General features: G+C 39.3%; 1 pseudogene; it reads right to left on the bottom strand.

Annotated features, from left to right (window-relative positions):
- Window positions 1–1913: 1913 nt before the first annotated feature.
- On the bottom strand, window positions 1914–2524 carry H3P27 (H3 histone pseudogene 27; annotated as a pseudogene).

The raw sequence follows: 19663 nt of genomic DNA, 5'->3' as shown, positions 1-19663 counted from the left end.
ATGATGTCAAAACAATTCTGTGATCCTCCTCATTTTTTCCCTTAAAAACCTTTGCCTTCCTTTACCTCCCTGAATATGCACATAATTTACTATGGCACACATATTCTCATTGCAATGCTGTAGCCCCAAAATAAATATCTTTTATAGCATCTCTGCTCTTTGTTATTTAGGTTGACAGTACTGATCAGGAAAGCATCCATGATTAATTAAGAATTAAAAACAAGGCTGTGGTGGCACACACCTGTAGTCCCAACTACTCAGGAGGCTGAGGTAGGAGGATTGCTTGAGGCCAGGAGTTCAAGCCCAGGCTGGGCAACATAGTGAGACCCCCAACTCTAAAAAAAAAAAATTAATAGAAAAAGAAAAAACAAGTTATAGGCCATCTTTTTTTCATCAGAGCCATCACACTGGATACAGGCCAATTTTATATCATTTGCATAAATATGATTTATAAGTATATATAGCTAATCTGTGTGGCATAGCTATGTCAGAAGAAAGGAATTAGAAGGTGTGGATGACTTTGTCTTTTTTCTTTTTTTTTTTTTTTGAGACGGAGTCTCACTCTGTTGCCTAGGCTGGAGTGCAATGGTGCAATCTCGGCTCACTACAACCTCCACTTCCTGGGTTCAGGCGATTCTCGTGCCTCAGCCTCCCCAGTAGCGAGGATTACAGGCACATGCCACCATGCCCAGCTAATTTTTGTATTTTTAGTAGAGGCGGGGTTTCAACATGTTGGCCAGGCTGGTCTCGAACTCCTGACTTCAAGTGATCCATCTGCCTCGGCCTCCCAAAGAGCTGGGATTACAGGCGTGAGCCACCGTGCCCAGCTTGTCTTCTTTTTTATGGAATTTTAGTTTGGAAGAAATTACTTTCTTTCTAGTATTTTTCAGTATTTTCAAATAATGTTAAACTAACAAATAAAGAACAGTTTAGATGTTTTCTCTGAAACTCCAAAGTTTGACAGTATTATCGTACCTTTCTTTAAAAAAAGTACACCTTTTCTAATGAAAATATGATCATTGGCCAGGTGCAGTGCCTCATGCCTGTAATCTTGGCACTTTGGGAGGCCGAGGCAGAAGTTCGAGATCAGCCTGGCCAACATTGTGAAACCTGATCTCTACTAAAAATACAAAAATTAGCCAGGCATGGTGGCACAAGCCTGTAATCCCAGCTACATGAGCCCACAAGGCAGAGGTTGAAGTGAGCCTCCCAGCACCAATGAACTCCAGTCTGGGTGATGGAGGGAAACTCTGTCTGAAAAGAAAAAAGAAAAGGAAAAGAAAAGAAAAGAGAAGAGAAAAGAAAAAGGACAGGAGAGGAGAGGAGAAGAGAAGAGGGGAGGGGAGGGGAGGGGAGGGAGGGAGTCATTTTGGACTTTCATATTTTGTGTAAATTTCCTCATTTTTCAGGCCTTGCCCATCATTAAGTTTTTAAAATTCTAGATGTGAAAACCATACGTGTTCTATAATCTTGAAAGTAGGAAAAACATTTTATGTATCAGTCAAAATCTAATTCTAGTTAAAAACAGTTGGTTCATGTCTTCTCTCTTTCTTTTTTGTAGTTTAATGTATTTTGATAGCAAACTTGCAGGGATAGCACAGAAGACAGGCAACATTAAAAATATGTACTTGCCTGTGGGACAATTCAGTTAGAAAAGTGAATGGATGGAATCTACTGTATGATAAATTTGCAACAAACACCCTTTAGTTGCCATCAATAAGCAATTTACTTGTTTTAAAAATGCTGGCACTGTCCAGAAAATTTTGACAGGTTTATTTATAACTATTATAAAGTTGAAACACTGAAACTTGTTCACTGAAACATTTTGACTTGCATTAATGCTTTACATCCCTGGCATTTATACTAAAAATTCACACACAAATGAAAATGGAAAAACTGCCAATACCTGTTTTCTGTCCCCTGTTTATCCACTCACAATCATATATTTAAGTACATTTTGACCCCAAGGAAAAAATATAATGTTCAGAACTACCAACAACAGGAAGAAGATAATTTTTTTAGAGTGAATGTTTCCCGTCGTAGTGGATTCTTAAGCACTTTTCCACATGTGCAGCATGCTACCTGGATGTCTTTTGGCATAATTTGTTACACATGGATAGCACACAATTTGGTGTCTTCAAAAAGGCCAACCAGATGGGCTTCACTTGCCTCCTGCAAAACACCAATAGCTGTGCTCTGGAAGTGCAGATCTGTTTTAAAGTTCTGAGCTAGTTCTCATGCTGATGGTGTAAGGGAATTTGGCAAATCATAAGTTCAAGGGACTTCTGTTAATGTCTAATTTCAAGGAGTGCCACAGTACCAGGCCTATAATGATGAGGTTTCTTCACCCTTTAAGTAGAGGGTACACTCCCTCTCGAGTGGCTTTTTTAGCCATTTGCTTTCTGGGTGCGTTGTCACTGGTCGATTTGCAGGCAGTTTGCTTTGTATGAGCTATGGTACCTTCTTACTTACCCCACTTCTCCTTTGGCTGGAGCTCTGCGAGCTAGTGGCAGTGCTGATGTTGCTGTGGTGACTGCCTCCTCCATTCTCTTTTATTATTATTTGGTTTGTGTATACTATTTTAAAATCACTATGAAATAAGATGGAATCAAATGATTGCTATTTTTAATTAATTAATTTTAAAGACAGGGTCTTGCTCTGTCACCTAGGCTGGAGTGCAGTGATGTAGTCATAGTTCACTGCAGCCTTGAACTCTTGGGCTCAAGCAATACTCCTGCCTCAGCCTCCCAAAGTGCTGGGATTACAGCTGTGAGCCACCATACCTGGACATGGCTGTTTTTGTAGGTCAAAATGATCAAATGTTGGTACTTTCATATGTCTCTATCTAATAATCAATAGCTATTTGAATTAAGTCATGTGATTTTTTTTTTTTTTTTTGAGACAGAGTCTTGCCATCTCTGCTCACTACAACCTCCGCCTCCAGTCCAAGCGATTCTCCTGCCTCAGCCTCCTGAGTAGCTTGAATTACAGGTGCACGCCACCATGCTCAGCTAATTTTTGTATTTTTAGTAGAGACAGTATTTCACCACGTTGGCCAGGCTGGTCTCGAGTTCCTGCCCTCAAGCGATCCACCCGCCTCAGCCTCCCAAAGTGTTGAGATTACAGGGATGAGCCACCGTGCCTGGCCAAGTCATGTGATATCTTTACTCTGGTGAATGAACAGTGACTATCTGGGGCTGGTAACATAGGGTTAAGAAAAATTTACCAAGACAGTTGTAGATAAATAAAGACAGATTTATTACAGAAAGTATGAAAATACATTGCAAGAAAGCAACAGGCAAGTCAGCAAGAGAAGAGCTAACTGCGAAGAGACAAAGGCCTGCTGGAAATTTTACAGGATTTTATAGAATGGAGCTTGTGCTCTGTGCTGAAGAGGGCTTTGTGCAGTATCAATGCCAAGGTTGCAGTGAGCTAACTTAACAATTTTTCTGTCAGCTGAGGGTCTAGTGATAACTGGTCACAGGAAGGTTGTGAGTTGTTTGCAGAGGACAGCTATGTGTCCTGGACCATGAAGAAAGGCAGAATTGTATTGTAGCTTATTTGCTTCTTCTTTTTGCTTTACCCTGGTCCCACCAGCCTGACTCTGTGCCCCCACCTCCTCCCAGTTAGGACTCCACATTTATCTAGCAAATAATTGTGAAAAATTTAGATTTGTCTTAATATTATGTTATATGCACGTAAAAACTATATTGGAAAGTTTGGTTTACTGAAGGTATTGAACTTACATGGTAACTATTAAACCTATAATATAGGGATGTACTACAACACTGGTTTCAATGTATTAGAAAAGCAGGTAGTATATACCAGTACCATGCTGTTTTGGTAACTATAGCTTTGTAGTATAGTTTGAAGTTGGATAATGTAATGCCTCCAGATTTGTTCTTTTTGCTTAGTCTTGCTTTGGCTACGTGGGGTCTTTTTTGGTTTCACATGAATTTTAGGATTTTTTTTTCTAGTTCTGTGAAGAATGATGGTGGTACTTTGATGGGAATTACATTGAATCTGTAGATTGCTTTTGGCAGTATGGTCATTTTTCAGAATATTGATTCTACCCATCTATGAGCATGGGATGTGTTTCCATTTGTTTGTGTGGTTGATGATGTCTTTCAGCAGTGTTTTGTAGTTTTCCTTGTAGAGATATTTCACTTATTTGGTTAGGTGTGTGCCTAAGTATTTTATTTTATTTTTATTTTTTGCAGCTGTTGTAAAAAGGATTGAATTCTTGATTTGTTTCTCAGCCTTGTCCTTGTTGGTGTATAGCAATAATACTGATTTGTGTATGTTCATTTTGTATCCTGAAATTTTACTGAATTCGTTTATCAGATCTAGGAGCTTTTTGGATGGGTCTTTAGCATTTTCTGGGTATACGATCATATCACTGGTGAACAGCAACAGTTTGATTTCCGCTTTACCAATTTGAATGCCCTTTATTTTTCTCTTGTCTGATTGCTCTGGCTAGGACTTCCAGTACGATGTCGAGTAAAAGTAGCGAAAATGAGGATCCTTGTCTTGTTCCAGTTCTCAGGGGAAATGCTTTCAATTTTTCCCCATTCAGTATAATGTTGGCTGTGGGATTGTCATAGATGGCTTTTATTACCTTGAGATATGTCCCTTTTGTGCTAATTTTGCCGAGGGTTTTAATCATAAAATGATGCTGGATTTTGCCAAATGCTTTTTCTGTATCTGTTGAGATGATCATATGATTTCTGTTTTTAACTCTGTGTATGTGATGTATCACATTTATTGACTTGCATATGCTAAATTATCCCTGCATCCCTGGTATGAAACTTACTTGATCATGGTGTATTATCTTTCTGATATGCTGTTGGATTTGGTTAGCTACTATTTTGCTGAGCATTTTTGCACCTGTGTTCATCAAAGATATTGACATAGACCAATGAAACAGAGTAGAAAACCCAGAAATAAAACCAAATACTTACAGCCAACTGATCTCCAACAAAGCAAACAAAAACATAAAGTGAGGAAAGGACATCCTATTCAACAAATGGTGATGAGATAATTAGCAAGCCTTATGTAGAAGAATGAAACTTAATCCTTGTTCTCATCTTATACAAAAATCAACTCAAGGTGGATCAAATATTTAAATCTAAGACCTGAAACCATAAAAATTCTAGAAGATAAAATCGGTAAAACTCTTTTAGATGTTGGCTTAGACAAAAAGTTCATGACCAAGAACCCAAAAGCAAATTCAACAAAAAGATAAATAGATGAGACCTAATTAAAATAAAAAGCTTCTACACAGCAAAAGAAATCATCAGCAGAGTAAACAGACAACCCACAGAATCGAGAAAATATTCACAGACTTTGCACCTGACAAAGGACTAATATCCAGAACCTACAAGGAACTCAAACAAACCAAGAAAAAACAAATAACCCCATAAAAGTGGGCAAAGGACATGAGTAGACAGTTCTCAAAAGAAGATATACAGGCTGGGCGTGATGGCTCACGCCTGTAATCCCAGGACTTTGGGAGGTAGAGACGGATGGATTTCCTGAGGTCAGGAGTTCGAGACCTGCCTGGGCAACATGGTGAAACCCCGTCTCTACTAAAAATACAAAAATTAGCTGGGCGTGGTGATAAGCGCCTGTAATCCCAGCTACTCAGGAGGCTGAGGCATGAGAATCTCTTGAACCCGGGAGGTGGAGGTTGCAGTGAGCTGAGATCCCACCACTGCACTCCAGCCTGGGGGGGCAGAGCGAGACCCCGTCTCAAAAAAAAAATTATACAAATGGCCAATAAATGTAAGAAAAATGCTCAACATCACTAATTATCAGAGAAATGCAAATTAAAACCACAATGAGATACCACCTTACTCCTTCAAGAATGGCTATAATTAAAAAATTTTAAAAAATAGATATTGGTTTGGATGTGGTGAAGAAGGAACACTTTTACACTGCTGGTGGGAATGTAACTAGTACAACCACCATGGAAAACCATGTGGAGACTCCTTAAAGAACTAAAAGTAGAACTACCATTTGATTTAGCACTCCCACTACTGAGTATCTACCCAGAGGAAAATAAGTCATTATATGAAAAAGACACTTGCACACTCATGTTTATAGTAGCACAATTTGCAACTGAAAAAAATACAGAACCAGTATAAATGCCCATTGACCAACAAATGGATAAAGAAAATGCGGCATATATACACCATTGAATACTACTCAGCCATGAAAAGGAATGAAATAATGGCACTTGCAGCACCCTGGATGGAGTTGGAGAACATTATTCTAAGTGAAGTAACTCAGGAATGGGAAACCAAATATCATGTGTTCTCACTTATAAGTGGAAGCTAAGTTATGAGGACACAAAGGCACAGGAATGATATAATGGACTTTGAGGACTTGAGAGGAAGGGGACAAAGTGGGTGAGGGGTAAAAGACTACACGTTGGGTAGAGTGTACACTGCTTGGGTGACAGTTGCACCAAAATCTCAGAAATTAACACTAAATAACTTATCCATGTAACAAAATATCACCTGTTCTCCCAAAACGATTGAAAAAAAAAATGGCCTGGCACGGTGGCTCATGCCTGTAATGCCAGCACTTTGGGAGGCCAAGGTGGGCAGATCACCTGAGGTCAGGAGTTCGAGACCAGCCAGGACAGCCTGGTGAAACCCCGTCTCCACTAAAAATACAAAAAAATTAGCCAGGCCTGGTGGCGCATGCTTGTAGTCCTAGCTACTTGGGAGGCTGAGGCAGGAGAATTGCTTGAACCTGGGAGGCGGAGGTTGCGGTAAGCCAAGATTGCGCTATTGCACTCCAGCCTGGGCAACAAGACCGAGACTCTGTCTCAAAAAAAAAAAAAAAAAAAAAAGGAAGAAATTAAAAATAATTTTTTAAAGGATTGATTATATACTCTGTATCAATGAAACATAAATCATTTTCTTTTAAATCTTGCTAAAAAGACGCAGCAAATATATTAGCACTATGTAATAAAATTTGTAACTGAAAAAGGAAAAGCAGACAGTATAATATTAAGAATAGATACCAACAATTATTTGTAATGTGACAAATTGAAGATGTAAGTTTCTATGAGATCATTTCATTTGGAGACAGGAAAGGGCAGATGTGTCAGGAGTTTAATGGGAATTCCTTTGGCAATATTGTTTATGATTATCTCCTCTTGGGAAAAGGACAAGCAAAAGTTACAATTTAGCTTGGAATGTTTTGGATGGGAATGTAGAATGTATTATATAGTGAGCTAGAAAACATTTTGTACTCATCAGGACTTCATACTCATGGAAGTAATTTATTTTCCAAATATTGCTGAACTTTGTCATCCTAAGCAAGATAACACAGTTAGGTATTTGGTTCCATAAATGGGTCTTTATTATGCAAAGGCCATTGCTTCTTAGGTAGGAGACTTGGATGAGTGGGACAAGTGCCTATTTTGGATAGAAAGCAGCAGTCTAGGGTGCATTATGTAGAATTTGAATTGTATCTATAGACCCTACTTTAGCTCTCCAGCTCCTTTTCCAGAAAAGGTTTTATGGACAGCCTATAGACAAGCTATGGTCCTGGAGGAGCCATTAACACTGTGTCAGTAGCCAGTCATATGTGCCTTGAAGGGGAGAGACTATTTGGACTGGGAGAACAGTACACTCTGAGGCGAGGCATGAAAGACTAGGGGAATAGGAATGTGGTGCTATTTGCTTTTTATCTACTGTTATCAATAAATTGGCCTATTTGAAAAAAAATTTAGAGAGCTGAGCACGGTGGCTCATGTCTGTAATCCCAGCACTTTCAGAGGCAAGGTGGGCGGATCACCTGAAGTCAGGAGTTTGAGACCAGTCTGGCCAACATGGTGAAACACCGTCTCTAAAAGTTAGCCAGGCATGGTGACAGGCGCCTGTAATCCCAGCTACTTGGGTGGCTGAGGCAGGAGAATAGCTTGAACCCAGGAGGTGGAGGTTGCAGTGAGCAAGATCACACCATTACACTCCAGCCTGGATGACAAGAGTGAAACTCCATCTCAAAAAAAAAAAAAAAAAATTTAAGCATCTGATCTGTTTTTGTTAAATCACATGGATAAATTAGGCTGCCTTTGGTGTCTTTAATAGTTTTAGACAATAGATTTTGTAATATGGAATACAGAAGTTCCCCCATTATTAGAGATTTCACTTTCCATGGTTTCAGTTACCTGTGCTCAACTGCGCTCCGGAAATATAAAATGGAAAATTCAGAAATAAACAATTCCTAAGTTTTAAAATACGGGACACTCTGAATAGCACGATGAAATCTCATGACTTTTCATTTGGGAGATGAATCATCTCTTTGTCCAGTATTTTCACACTGCATATGGTACCTGCTCATTAGTCATGTAGTAGTCTTCTCAGTTATTAGATTGATGGTTGTGGTATTGCAGTGCATGTGTTCAAGTAACCCTTTTACTTAATGATGGTCTTAAAGTGCAAGAGTAATGGTGTTGGTAATTCAGATACGCCAAACAGAAACCACGAAGTACTTCCTTTGAGTGAAAAGGTGAAAGTTCTCAATAAGGAAAGAAAAAATTGTATGTCAAGGTTGCTAAGATCTATGGTAAGAACAAATATATCTGTGAAACTGAAGAAGGAAAAAGAATTTCATGCTAGTTTTGCTGTTGTATCTCAAACTGCAAAAGTTATAGGTACAGACGGTGATAAGTGCTTAGTTAAAAGGAAAAGGCCTTACATTTGTGGGTAGTAGATATGAACAGAAACATGTTCCAATGATGGTGTTGACCAAAACTAAAACTTTTGAGGTAGAAATAGTTTGATAAAGGTTTATTGGGAGCCAAATATGAGGATCGGCATGGGAAAACACACAACAAAGTTGGGAGCATTCTGGATTCTCACAAGTTGGAGGGCTTTTGTAGGAAAGTTTAGGAGAAGGAAGGGGGACTCCTCATACCATGGTTGTGCTTTTTTATTGGAGGATACAATACAGAGTTTGCAATTTTGGATACAGATTGCAACATATGGGCTAAAATATTAATAACTATGTGCAAGACAGTCAGTAAAACTTTATGATTCAGAAATAAATCAGTGTCCTTTCAGTGTCAGTAGGTTATGCATTAATCAGCACGTCAACAATTTGAGGAACTTAAGATCAAATTCTTTACTCAGGGACAGGGTATTGCCATGAATTATAAAACCTTCCCTAGGCCGTTATTCTGGAAGCCTGATTACTTATTTATTTATTTTTGAGACAGAGTCTTGTTCTGTTGCCCAGGCGAGAGTGCAATGTCATGATCTCGGCTCACTGCAACCTCCACCTCCCAGGTTCAAGTGATTCTCCTGCCTCAGTCTCTCAAGTATCTGGGATTACAGGTATCTGCCACCTAATTATGGGCATCTGCCAGGATAATTTTTGTATTTTTATTAGAGATGGGGTTTCACCATGTTGGCCAGACTGGTCTCGATCTCCTGACCTCAAGTGATCCCCCCACCTCTTCCTCCCAAAGTGCTGAGCTTAGAGGCATGAGCCCCCATGCCGGGTCACCTATTTACTTTTAAAGAAAACTGTCAAATGCGACCTGTAAGTTATCAATGGCAATCAGGTTTAGTACTATCCATGCTTCAGGCATCTTGGAATGGGGGTCTTGGAATGTATCTTCCACAGATAAAGGGAGACTATTGAAATTTTATAACAAATAATTTTCTATTAAGTTCATAGAAGAACTTTGTCTAACCCTGTATAGGTAAATATACTTATTTTCTCTACATAGTCTAAGGCAGGTCATGTACTTTGATTGTTTTTCTAAATTAATAATCAAATAGTTGTGACTTCTTCATGTTTGTGTCAATGTCACAGTTAGATTTTTGGTGTATTGGACACGAGGCTGACCAACAAGGTCAATTTCCACCTTGTTCTGATATATAGTCATTATGGCTTAGGGCTGACCCCAGCTCTAAGGGGCATGCCTGAATTGTCTAACTCAGGCTAACCCCACTCCCCTTGGTATAGTGATTGTTTCAAATAAACCAATCTAATCCTAAAATACACCTTGATAAAAGTGAGTTCTCTTTCATATTGAAGAATAGTATCCAAAGCCCATTAATATCATCTTGACAGTTGGCTGGCTTTATCAGTTTCCTAGTCATTATATTAGCCTGTTTCAGAGGGTTAACTTTGTAGTGTGATACAGTCCTCTTTATGACTACACATGTAGAGTATGTGTGTGGATTAAGGTTGTAGAAAACTGAAATAGAAATACAAAAAAGTTCTGGGGAAGAAAGGTTACATAATATGGTTTTAGCTCTGAGAAACTGGTAGCAGTTCTTTTCTTTTGAGAGGGGGAACTAAGGTGGAAGGGAAATTTACTTTTCACTGCACATCTTTCTCTCCTTTTAAATTTTTGTACCTTATGTATATTACCTAATAAAGATACGTTTATATATTAATTTTTAATTTTTTTAATTTTGGAGATAGGATCTCACTGTGTTGCCCAGGCTGGACTCCAGGGCTCAAGAGATCCTCCTGTCTCAGTCTCTCAAGTAGCTGAGACTACAGGCTCACATCACCACAACCGGCAAGAATAATTTTAAATTGTTGCTGTCACAGTCTTTAAAAAGCTCTCTGGACACTTCTGTAGTTCTCACTTTTTCTAAACTGATGCACTGCATATATGACAACGATGTTAGTGAGCCATTGCCCTTGGGTGTTTATTTCAGTTGTCAATTCGCAGTAATTAATTTTTTTTTTTGAGAGGGAGTCTTGCACTGTTGTCCAGGCTGGAGTGCAGTGGCCTGATCTCAGCTCACTGCACCTCCACCTCCCAGGTTCAAGTGATTCTCCTGCCTCAGTCTCCTGAGTAGTGAGATTACAGGTGCCCTCTGCCACTCCCGGCTCATTTTTGTAGTATTAGTAGAGATGGGGTTTCACCATGTTGGCCAGGCTGGTCTTGAACTCCTGACCTCAGGTGATCTGCCTACCTGGGCCTGCCAAAGTGCTGCGATTGCAGGCGTAAAATTATAGTCATGCTTCTGTTTTGAAAAACTCATCTCTCTCTCTTTCTCTTTCTTCTCTCTCTCTCTCTCTGTCTCTTTCAGACAGAGTCTCACTCTGTCACCAGGCTGGAGGGCAGTGGCGTGATCTCGGCTTGCTGCAGCTTCCGCCTCCTTGGTTCAAGTGATTATCCTGCCTCAGACTCCCAAGTAGCTGGGATTACAGTCGTATGCCACCACGTCTGACTAATTTTTGTATTTTTTTGTAGAGACAGTTTTCACCTCGTGGGGTTTCACCACGTTGGCCAGGCTGGTCTTGAACTCCTGACCTCAAGAGATCCTCCTGCCTCAGCCTCCCATAGTGCTAGGATTACAGGCTTGAGCTACCGTGCCTGGCCATTTTCTAACTTTTTGTTGGCTACTTTTATTTCTTCATTAGAGCGTTGCTGCTTGATATAATTTTCTCATTTGCAGTTTTCTTATTGATTTGTATAAACTTTCTGTAAAGTAATAACTCATTTTTTGGTTTATTTTGCTGCTAAAGTTTTTCTCCAGTTTGTTATTGTCTTTTGTATTTCAGTTTTTTTAAGGTACATACATGTAACATTATTATATTGTCAATATTATGTTACCTATGTGTTTAGCATGTTTCGTCGGATATTTGACAAATGTTCACTTTTCTTACCTTTTCTCCTTTGGTTTTAATTTCTTAAGATTCTAATATTCAATCTATTTAGATTTTATTTGGAACTATAGGGTGAAGTGAACATTTATTTTTTTTCAAAATTTATAAATTGCCAATATTTTAAAAAATATTTTCTTCTTTCTTATGGATTTGTGATTCCTCCTTTATCTAATATTAAACCATAAAACGGCATATTTCTATGCTTTATATTTTATTTCATTAATGGTCTTTTATTCCAATGTTACTACTGTACTTTAAAGATTCTTGTCATTTTATAATATATTTGAATTATTGATAGGGCTTTTTCCTGCCCATTGCTTTCTATTCTCACCTAATCATACTATATAATTTTTAGTATCATATTTTTTTCAAGTTCTGAAATAAAAATCCCTTTGAAATATCAACTGGAGTTATTAAGCCTATAAGGAAAACAAAGAGAATGAGGTTTCCAGTTAACAAAAAATTATTTTTAAGAAACTGGAGGGTGTTTTTTTGAGTCTTCTAAAAAAAAATCACCAGGCTTTAAATATATTTCTCCTTTTTACTCCCCAAATGGCACCAGCTGTGTAATTTACTGCCAGCCAGAATGTTGTTTTTAACTTCCGCTGGGTGTTTTTTCTTGTACTCAATTTGCAAGCTCTTTTTCTCTATTGCATTTGCCACAACATGACATATATACTGAAGTATATTTTATCACATATTGCATATATATGGAATTGTTATACATGCATTACATAAACACTGAAACACATTTTATTTCTATTTATTTTTATATTCTTTGGATAATTTCAATGTAAATAAACTTTTAGCATTTGGGGTATTTGTATTTTTTATTTACTTTTGTTTTTTTACTTTCAGTTCCGGGATACATGTGCAGAACATGCAGGTTTGTTACATAGGTATACGTGTACTATGGTGGTTTGCTGTAGCTATCACCCGTCACCTAGGTTTTAAGCCCTGCATGCATTAGCTATTTGTCCTGATGCTCTCCCTCGCCTCGCCCCACCCCACCACCACCGATTGGCCCTGGTGTGTGTTGTTCCCCTCCTTGTGTCCATGTGTTCTCATTGATCAACTCTCACTTATAAGTGAGAACACGGGGTATTTGGTTTTCTGTTCCTGTGTTAGTTTGCTAAGAATGATGGCTTCCAGCTTCATCTATGTCCTTGCAAAGGACATGATCTCATTCCTTTTTGTGGCTGCACAGTATTCCATGGTGTATGTGTACCACATTTTCTTTATCCAGTCTATCATTGATGGGCATTTGGATTGGTTCCATGTCTTAGATATTGTGAATAGTGCTGCAATAACATATCTGTGCATGGATCTTTATAATAGAATGATTTATATTCCTTTGTGTATATACCAGTAATGGGATTGCTGGCTCAAATGGTATTTCTGGTTCTAGATCCTTGAGGAATTGCCACACTGTCTTCCACAATGGTTGAACTAAACTACATTCCCACCAACAATGTAAAAGCGTTCCTATTTCTCCACAGCCTCACGAGCATCTGTTGTTTCTTGACTTTCTAATAATCTCCATTCTGACTGGCAAGAGATGACAGTAGTTTTAATTTGCATTGTGGTTTTAATTTGCATTTATCTAATGATCAGTGATGTTGAGCTTGTTTCTGTATGTTTCTTGGCCACATAAATGTCTTCTTGTGAGGTGTCTGTTCATATCCTTTGTCCACCTTTTTTTTTTTTTTTTTTTGAGACAGAGTCTCACTCTGTCACCCAGGCTGGAATGCATTGGCATGATCTTGGCTCACTGCATTCTCTACCTCCTGGGTTCAAGCAGTTTTCATGCCTCGGCCTCCTAAATAGCTGGGATTACAGGTGTGTGCCGCCACACCTGGCTAATTTTTGTATTTTTAGTAGAGACGGGGTTTTATCATGTTGGCCAGGCTGATCTTGAACTCCTGACCTCATGTGACCCACCCAACTGCTCAGCCTCCCGAAGTGTTGGGATTACAGGCGTGAGCCCCTGCACCCTGCCTCCTTTTCCACTTATGACATTTTTTTTCTTGTAAATTTGTTTAAATTCCTTGTAAATTCTGGATATTACATCTTTGTCAGATGGGTAGATTGCAAAAATTTTCTCCCATTCTGTAGGTTGCCTGTTTGTTCTGATGATAGTTTCTTTTGCTGTTCAGAAACTCTTTAGTTTAATCAGATCCCATTTGTCAATTTTAGCTTTTGTTGCAACTGCTTTTGGAGATTTCATCATAAAACCTTTGCCCATGTCTATATTCTAAATGGTATTGCCTAAGTTTTCTTCTAGGGTTTTTACGGTTTTGGGTTTTACATTTAAGTCTTTAATCCATCTTGACTTAATTTTTGTATAAGGTATAAGGAAGGGGTCCAGTTTCAGTTTTCTGCATATGGCTAGCCAGTTTTCCCAGCACCTGTTATTAAATAGGGAATCTTTTCCCTATTGCTTGTTTTTGTCAGTTTTGTTGAATATCAGATGGTTGTAGATGTGTGGTCTTATTTATGAGGTCTCTATTCTGTTCCATTGGTCTATATGTCTGTTTTGGTAACAGTACCATGCTGTTTTGGCTACTATAGCCTTGTAGCATAGTTTGAAGTCAGGTAGCTTGATGGCTCCAGCTAACCTTGTAGCATAGTTTGAAGTCAAGTAGCTTGATGGCTCCAGCTTTGTTATTTTTGCTCAGGATTGTTTTGATTCCATATGAATTTTAAAATAGTTTATTCTAAATCTGTGAGGAATGTCAGTGTTAGTTTGATGGGAATAGCATTGAATCTATAAATTACCTAGGGCAGTATGGCCATTTTCACAATATCTATTCTTCCTATCCATAAGGAAGGAATGTTTTTCCATCTGTGTCCTCTCGTATTTCCTTGAGCAGTGGTTTGCAGTTCTCTTTGAAGAGGTCCTTCATGTCCCTTGTTAGCTGTATTCCTAGGTATTTTATTCTCTTTTGTAACTGTGAATAGGGGTTCATTCATGATTTGGCTCTCTACTTGTCTATTGTTGGTATATAGAAATGCTTGTGATTTTTGCACGTTAATTTTGTATCCTGAGACTTTGCTGAAGTTGGTTATCAGCTTAAGGGGTTTTGGGGCTGAGAGGATGGGGTTTTCTAAATATAGGATCATGTCATCTTCAAACAGAGACAATTTGACTTCCTCTCTTCCTATTTAAATATGCTTTATTTTTTTTTCTTGGCAGACTGCCCTGGCCAGAACTTCCAATACTATGTTGAATATGAGTGGTGAGAGAGGGCATCCTTGTCTTTGCCAGTTTTCAAAGGGAATGCTTCCAGCTTTTGCCCATTCAGTATGATATTGGTTGTGGGTTTGTCATAAATAGCTCTTACTTTGAGTTATGTTCCATCAATACCTAGTTTATTGAGCGTTTTTAGCATGAAGGGATGTTGAATTTTATCGAAGGCCTTTTCTGCATCTATTAAGATAATCATGTGGTTTTCGTCATTGGTTCGGTTTATGTGATAAATTACTTTTATTGACTTGTGGCTGTTGATCCAGCCTTGCATCCCAGGGATGAAGCCAACTTGATTGTGGTGGATAAGCTTTTTGATGTGCTGCTGGATTCAGTTTGCCAGTATTTTATTTATTTATTTATTTATTATTTATTTATTTATTTATTTATTTATTTATTTATTTATAGAGATGGAGTCTTGCTCTGTCACCCAGGCTGGAATGCAGTGGCATTATCTTGGCTCACTGCAACCTCCCACTCCTGGTTTCAAGCGATTCTCCTGCCTCAGCCTCCCAAGTAGCTGGGACTATAGGCACACGCCACCTCACCTGGCTTTTTGTTTTTTTTTTTTTTAAGTAGAGACGGGGTTTCACATGTTGGCCAGGCTGGTCTCAAACTCCTGGCCCCAAGTGATCCATCTGCCTCAGGCTCCCAAAGTTCTGGGATTACAGGCATGAGTCACCATGCCCATCCTGCCAGTATTTTATTGAGGATTTTTGCATTGATGTTCATCAGGGATATTGGCCTGAAGCTTTCTTTTTTTGTTGTGTCTTTGCCAGGTTTCGATATTAGGATGATGCTGGTCTCATGAAATGATTTAGGGAGGAGGGCCAGGCATAGTGGCTTATGCCTCTAATCCCAGCACCTTGGGAGGCCAAGGCGGGTGAATCACTTGAGGTTAGGAGCTTGAGACCAGCCTGGCCAACATGGTGAAACTCCGTCTCTACTAAAAATACAGAAATTAGCTGGGTGTGGTGGTATGCACCTGTAATCCCAACTACTTGGGAGGCTGAGGCAGGAGAATCATCTGAACCTGGAAGGCAGAGGTTGCAGTGAGCCAAGATTGTGCCATTGCACTGCAGCTTGGGTGACAGTGAGACTGTCAAAAAAAAAAAAAAAAGATTTGCAGAGGAGTCCCTTCTTTTCAATTATTTGGAATAGTTTCTGAAGGAATGGTATCAACTCCTCTTTGTACTTCTGGTAGAATTCAACTCTGAATCAGTCTGGTCCTGGGCTTTTTTGGTTGGTATGCTATTTACTATTGCATCAGTTTCAGAACTTGTCATTGGTCTATTCAGTGATTTGACTTCTTCCTGGTTTAGTCTTGGAATTTATCCATTTCTTCTAGATTTTCTAGCTTATTTGCATAGAGGTATTTGTAGTATTCTCTGATGGTAGTTTGTGTTTCTGTGACGTCAGTGGTGATATCCCCTTTATCGTTTTTTATTGTGTCTATTTGATTTGTCTCTCTTTTCTTCTTTACTAGTCTAGCTAGTGGTCTAGCTATTTTATTAATTTTTTCAAAAAACTAGCTCCTGGATTCTTTGATTTTTTTAAAGGGTTTTTCATGTCTCTATCTCTTTCACTTCTGTTCTGATCTTAGTTATTTCTTGTCTTCTGCTAGCTTTTGGATTTGTTTGCTCTTTCTTCTCTAGTTCTTTTAATTGTGATGTTAGGGTGTCAACTTGAGATCTTTCTAGCTTTCCAATGTGGACATTTAGTTCTATAAATTTCCCTCTTAACACTGCTTTAGCTGTGTCCCAGAGATTCTGGTATGTTGTCTCTTTGTTCTCATTGGTCTCAAAGAACTTCTTGATTCCTGCCTTAATTTCATTATTTACCCAGGAGTTATTCAGGAACAGGTTGTTCAATTTCCATGCAGTTGTGTGGTTTTGAGTGAGTTTCTTAATCTCGAGTTCTAATTTGATTGCACTGCAGTCTGAGAGATTGTTATGATTTCAGTTATTTTGCATTTGCTGAGGAGTGTTTTACTTCCAATTATGTGGTCGATTTTAGAGTAATTGCAATGTGGCACTGAGAATAATGTATATTCTGTTGTTTTGGGGTGGAGAGTTCTGTAGATATCTATTAGGCCTGCTTGATCCAGAGTTGAATTCAAGTCCTGAATATCCTTGTTAATTTTCTATCTCATTGATCTGTCTAATATTGACAGTGGAGTGTTAAAGTCTCCCACTATCATTGTGTGGGAGTCTAAGTCTCTTTGTTGGTCTCTAAGAACTTTCTTTTTCTTTTTTTATGAATCTGGATGTTCCTATATTGGGTGCCTATATATTTAGGATAGCTAGCTCTTCTTGTTGAATTGGTCCCTTTACTATTATGTAATGCCCTTCTTTGTCTTTTTTTAAAAATCTTTTTTGGTTTAAAGTCTGTTTTGTCAGAGACTAGGATTGCAACCCCTGCTCTTTTCAGCTTTCCATTTGCTTGGTAAATTTTCCTCCATCCCTTTGATTTGAGCCTATGTGTATCTTTGCACGTGAGTTGGATCTCTTGAATACAGCACACTGATAGGTCTTAACTCTATCCAATTTGCCAGTCTATGTCTTTTAATTGGGGCATTTAGCCCATATACATCTAAGGTTAATATTGTTACGTGTGAATTTGATCCGGTCATCATGATGCTAGCTAGTTATTTTGCACCCTAGTTGATGCCATTTCTTCATAATGTCATTGGTCTTGATATTTCGTGTGTTTTGTAGTGGCTGGTACCAATTTTTCCTTTCCATATTTAGTGCTTCCTTCAGGAGTTCTTGCAAGGCAAGCCTTGTGGTGACTAATTCCCTCAGCATTTGCTTGTCTGGAAAGGACTTTATTTCTCTTTCATTTATGAAGCTTAGTTTGGCTAGATATGAAATTCTGGGTTGAAAATTCTCTTTTTCAGCCGGGTGCGGTTGCTCATGCCTGTAATCCCAGCACTCTGGGAGGCCAAGGTGGGCGGATCACAAGGTCAGGAGATTAAGACCATCCTGGCTAACACAGTGAAACCCCGTATCTACTAAAAATACAAAAAATTAGCTGGGCGTGGTGGTGGGCACCTGTAGTTCCAGCTACATTGGGAGGCTGAGGCAGGAGAATGGCGTGAACCTGGAAGGCGGAGCTTGCACTGAGCTGAGCTTGCCACTGCACTCCAGCCTGGGCAACAGAGTGAGACTCTGTCTCAAAGGAAAAAGAAAATTATCTCTTTTTTTTTTTTTAAAGAATGTTGAATATTGGCCTCCACTCTCTTCTGGCTTGTAGGGTTTCTGCAGAGAGATCCACTGTTAGTCTGATGAGCTTCCCTTTGTAGGTGACCTGGCCCATTTCTCTCTGGCTACGCTTAACTTTTTTTTCCTTCATTTCAACCTTGGAGAATCTGATGATTATATGTCTTGGGGTTGATCTTCTTGTGGAGTGTCTTAGTGGGGTTCTCTGTATTTCCTGAATTTGAATGTTGGCCTTGTCTTGCTAAGTTGGGGACGTTCTTCTGGATAACATCCTGAAGTGTGTTTTCCAACTTGGTTCTATTCTCTCCATCTCTTTCAGGTACTCCAATCAGTTGTAGATTCGGTCTTTTTACATAGTCCCACGTTTCTCAGAGGTTTTGCTCATTCCTTTTCGTCCTTTCTTCTCTAATCTTGTCTGCCTTCCTTATTTCAGCAAGATAATCTTCCATCTCTAATATTCTTTTTTTTTTTTTCTTGAGACAGTCTTGCTCTGTCACTCGGGCTGGAGTGAAGTGGTGTGATCTTGGCTCACTGCAACCACCACCTCCCAGGTTCAAGCGATTCTCCTGCCTCAGCCTCCCAAGTAGCTGGGATTACAGGCATGTGCCACCATGCCCAAGTAATTTTTTGTATTTTTAGTAGAGATGGGGTTTTGCCATGTTGGTCAGGCTGGTCTTGAACTCCTAACCTCAGGTGATCCACCTGCTTCAGGCTCCCAAAGTGCTGGGATTACGTCTCTGATATTCTTACTGCCACTTGATTAATTCGGCTATTGGTACTTGTGTATGCTTCACGAAGTTCTCATGCTGCAGTTTTCAGCTTCATTAGGTCATTTATGTTCCTCTCTAAACTGATTGTTCTAGTTAGCAGCTCCTCTAACCTTTTATCAACGTTCTTAGCTTCTTTGCATTGGGTTAGAACATTCTCTTACCTCAACAAAGTTTGTTATTACCCACTTTCTGAAGCCTACTTCTGTCAATTCGTCTATCTCATCCTCCATCCAGTTCTGCGCCGTTGCTGGAGAGGTGTTGCAATCATTTGGAGAAGAGGCACTCTGGCCTTTTGGGTTTTCTGTGTTTTTTTGTTGATTCTTTCTCATCTTCATGAGTTTGTCTATTTTTGATCTTTGAGGTTGCTGACTCTTGGACGAGGTTTTTGTGGAAACTTTTTTTGCTGTTGTTGATGCTGTTGTTGTTGCTTTCTTTTTGTTTGTTTTTCTTTCAATAGTCAGGTCCCTCTTCTGTAAGGCTGCTGTGGTTTACTGGGGGTTCACTTCAGGCCCTATTCATGTGGTTCGCTCTTGCACCTGGAGATGTCACTCAAGGAGGCTGGAGAACAGTAAAGATGGGTGCCTGCTCCTTCCTCTGGGATCTCTGACCTTTAGGGGCACCAACCTGATGCCAATAGGAACGCTCCTGTATAGGATGTCTGACAACCCCTATTGGTGAGGGGTGATATGGTATGGCTGTGTCCCCAGGCAAATCTCAACTTGAATTGTATCTCCCAGAATCCCCACATGTTGTGGGAGGGACCCAGGAGG

This window comes from Homo sapiens, chromosome 6, assembly GCF_000001405.40.
Source record: "Homo sapiens chromosome 6, GRCh38.p14 Primary Assembly".
In the NCBI taxonomy this organism is placed as follows: Eukaryota; Metazoa; Chordata; class Mammalia; order Primates; family Hominidae; genus Homo; species Homo sapiens.
The sequence above is the reverse complement of the archived record's forward strand: the minus strand, read 5'-3'. Positions and strand labels throughout refer to the sequence as shown.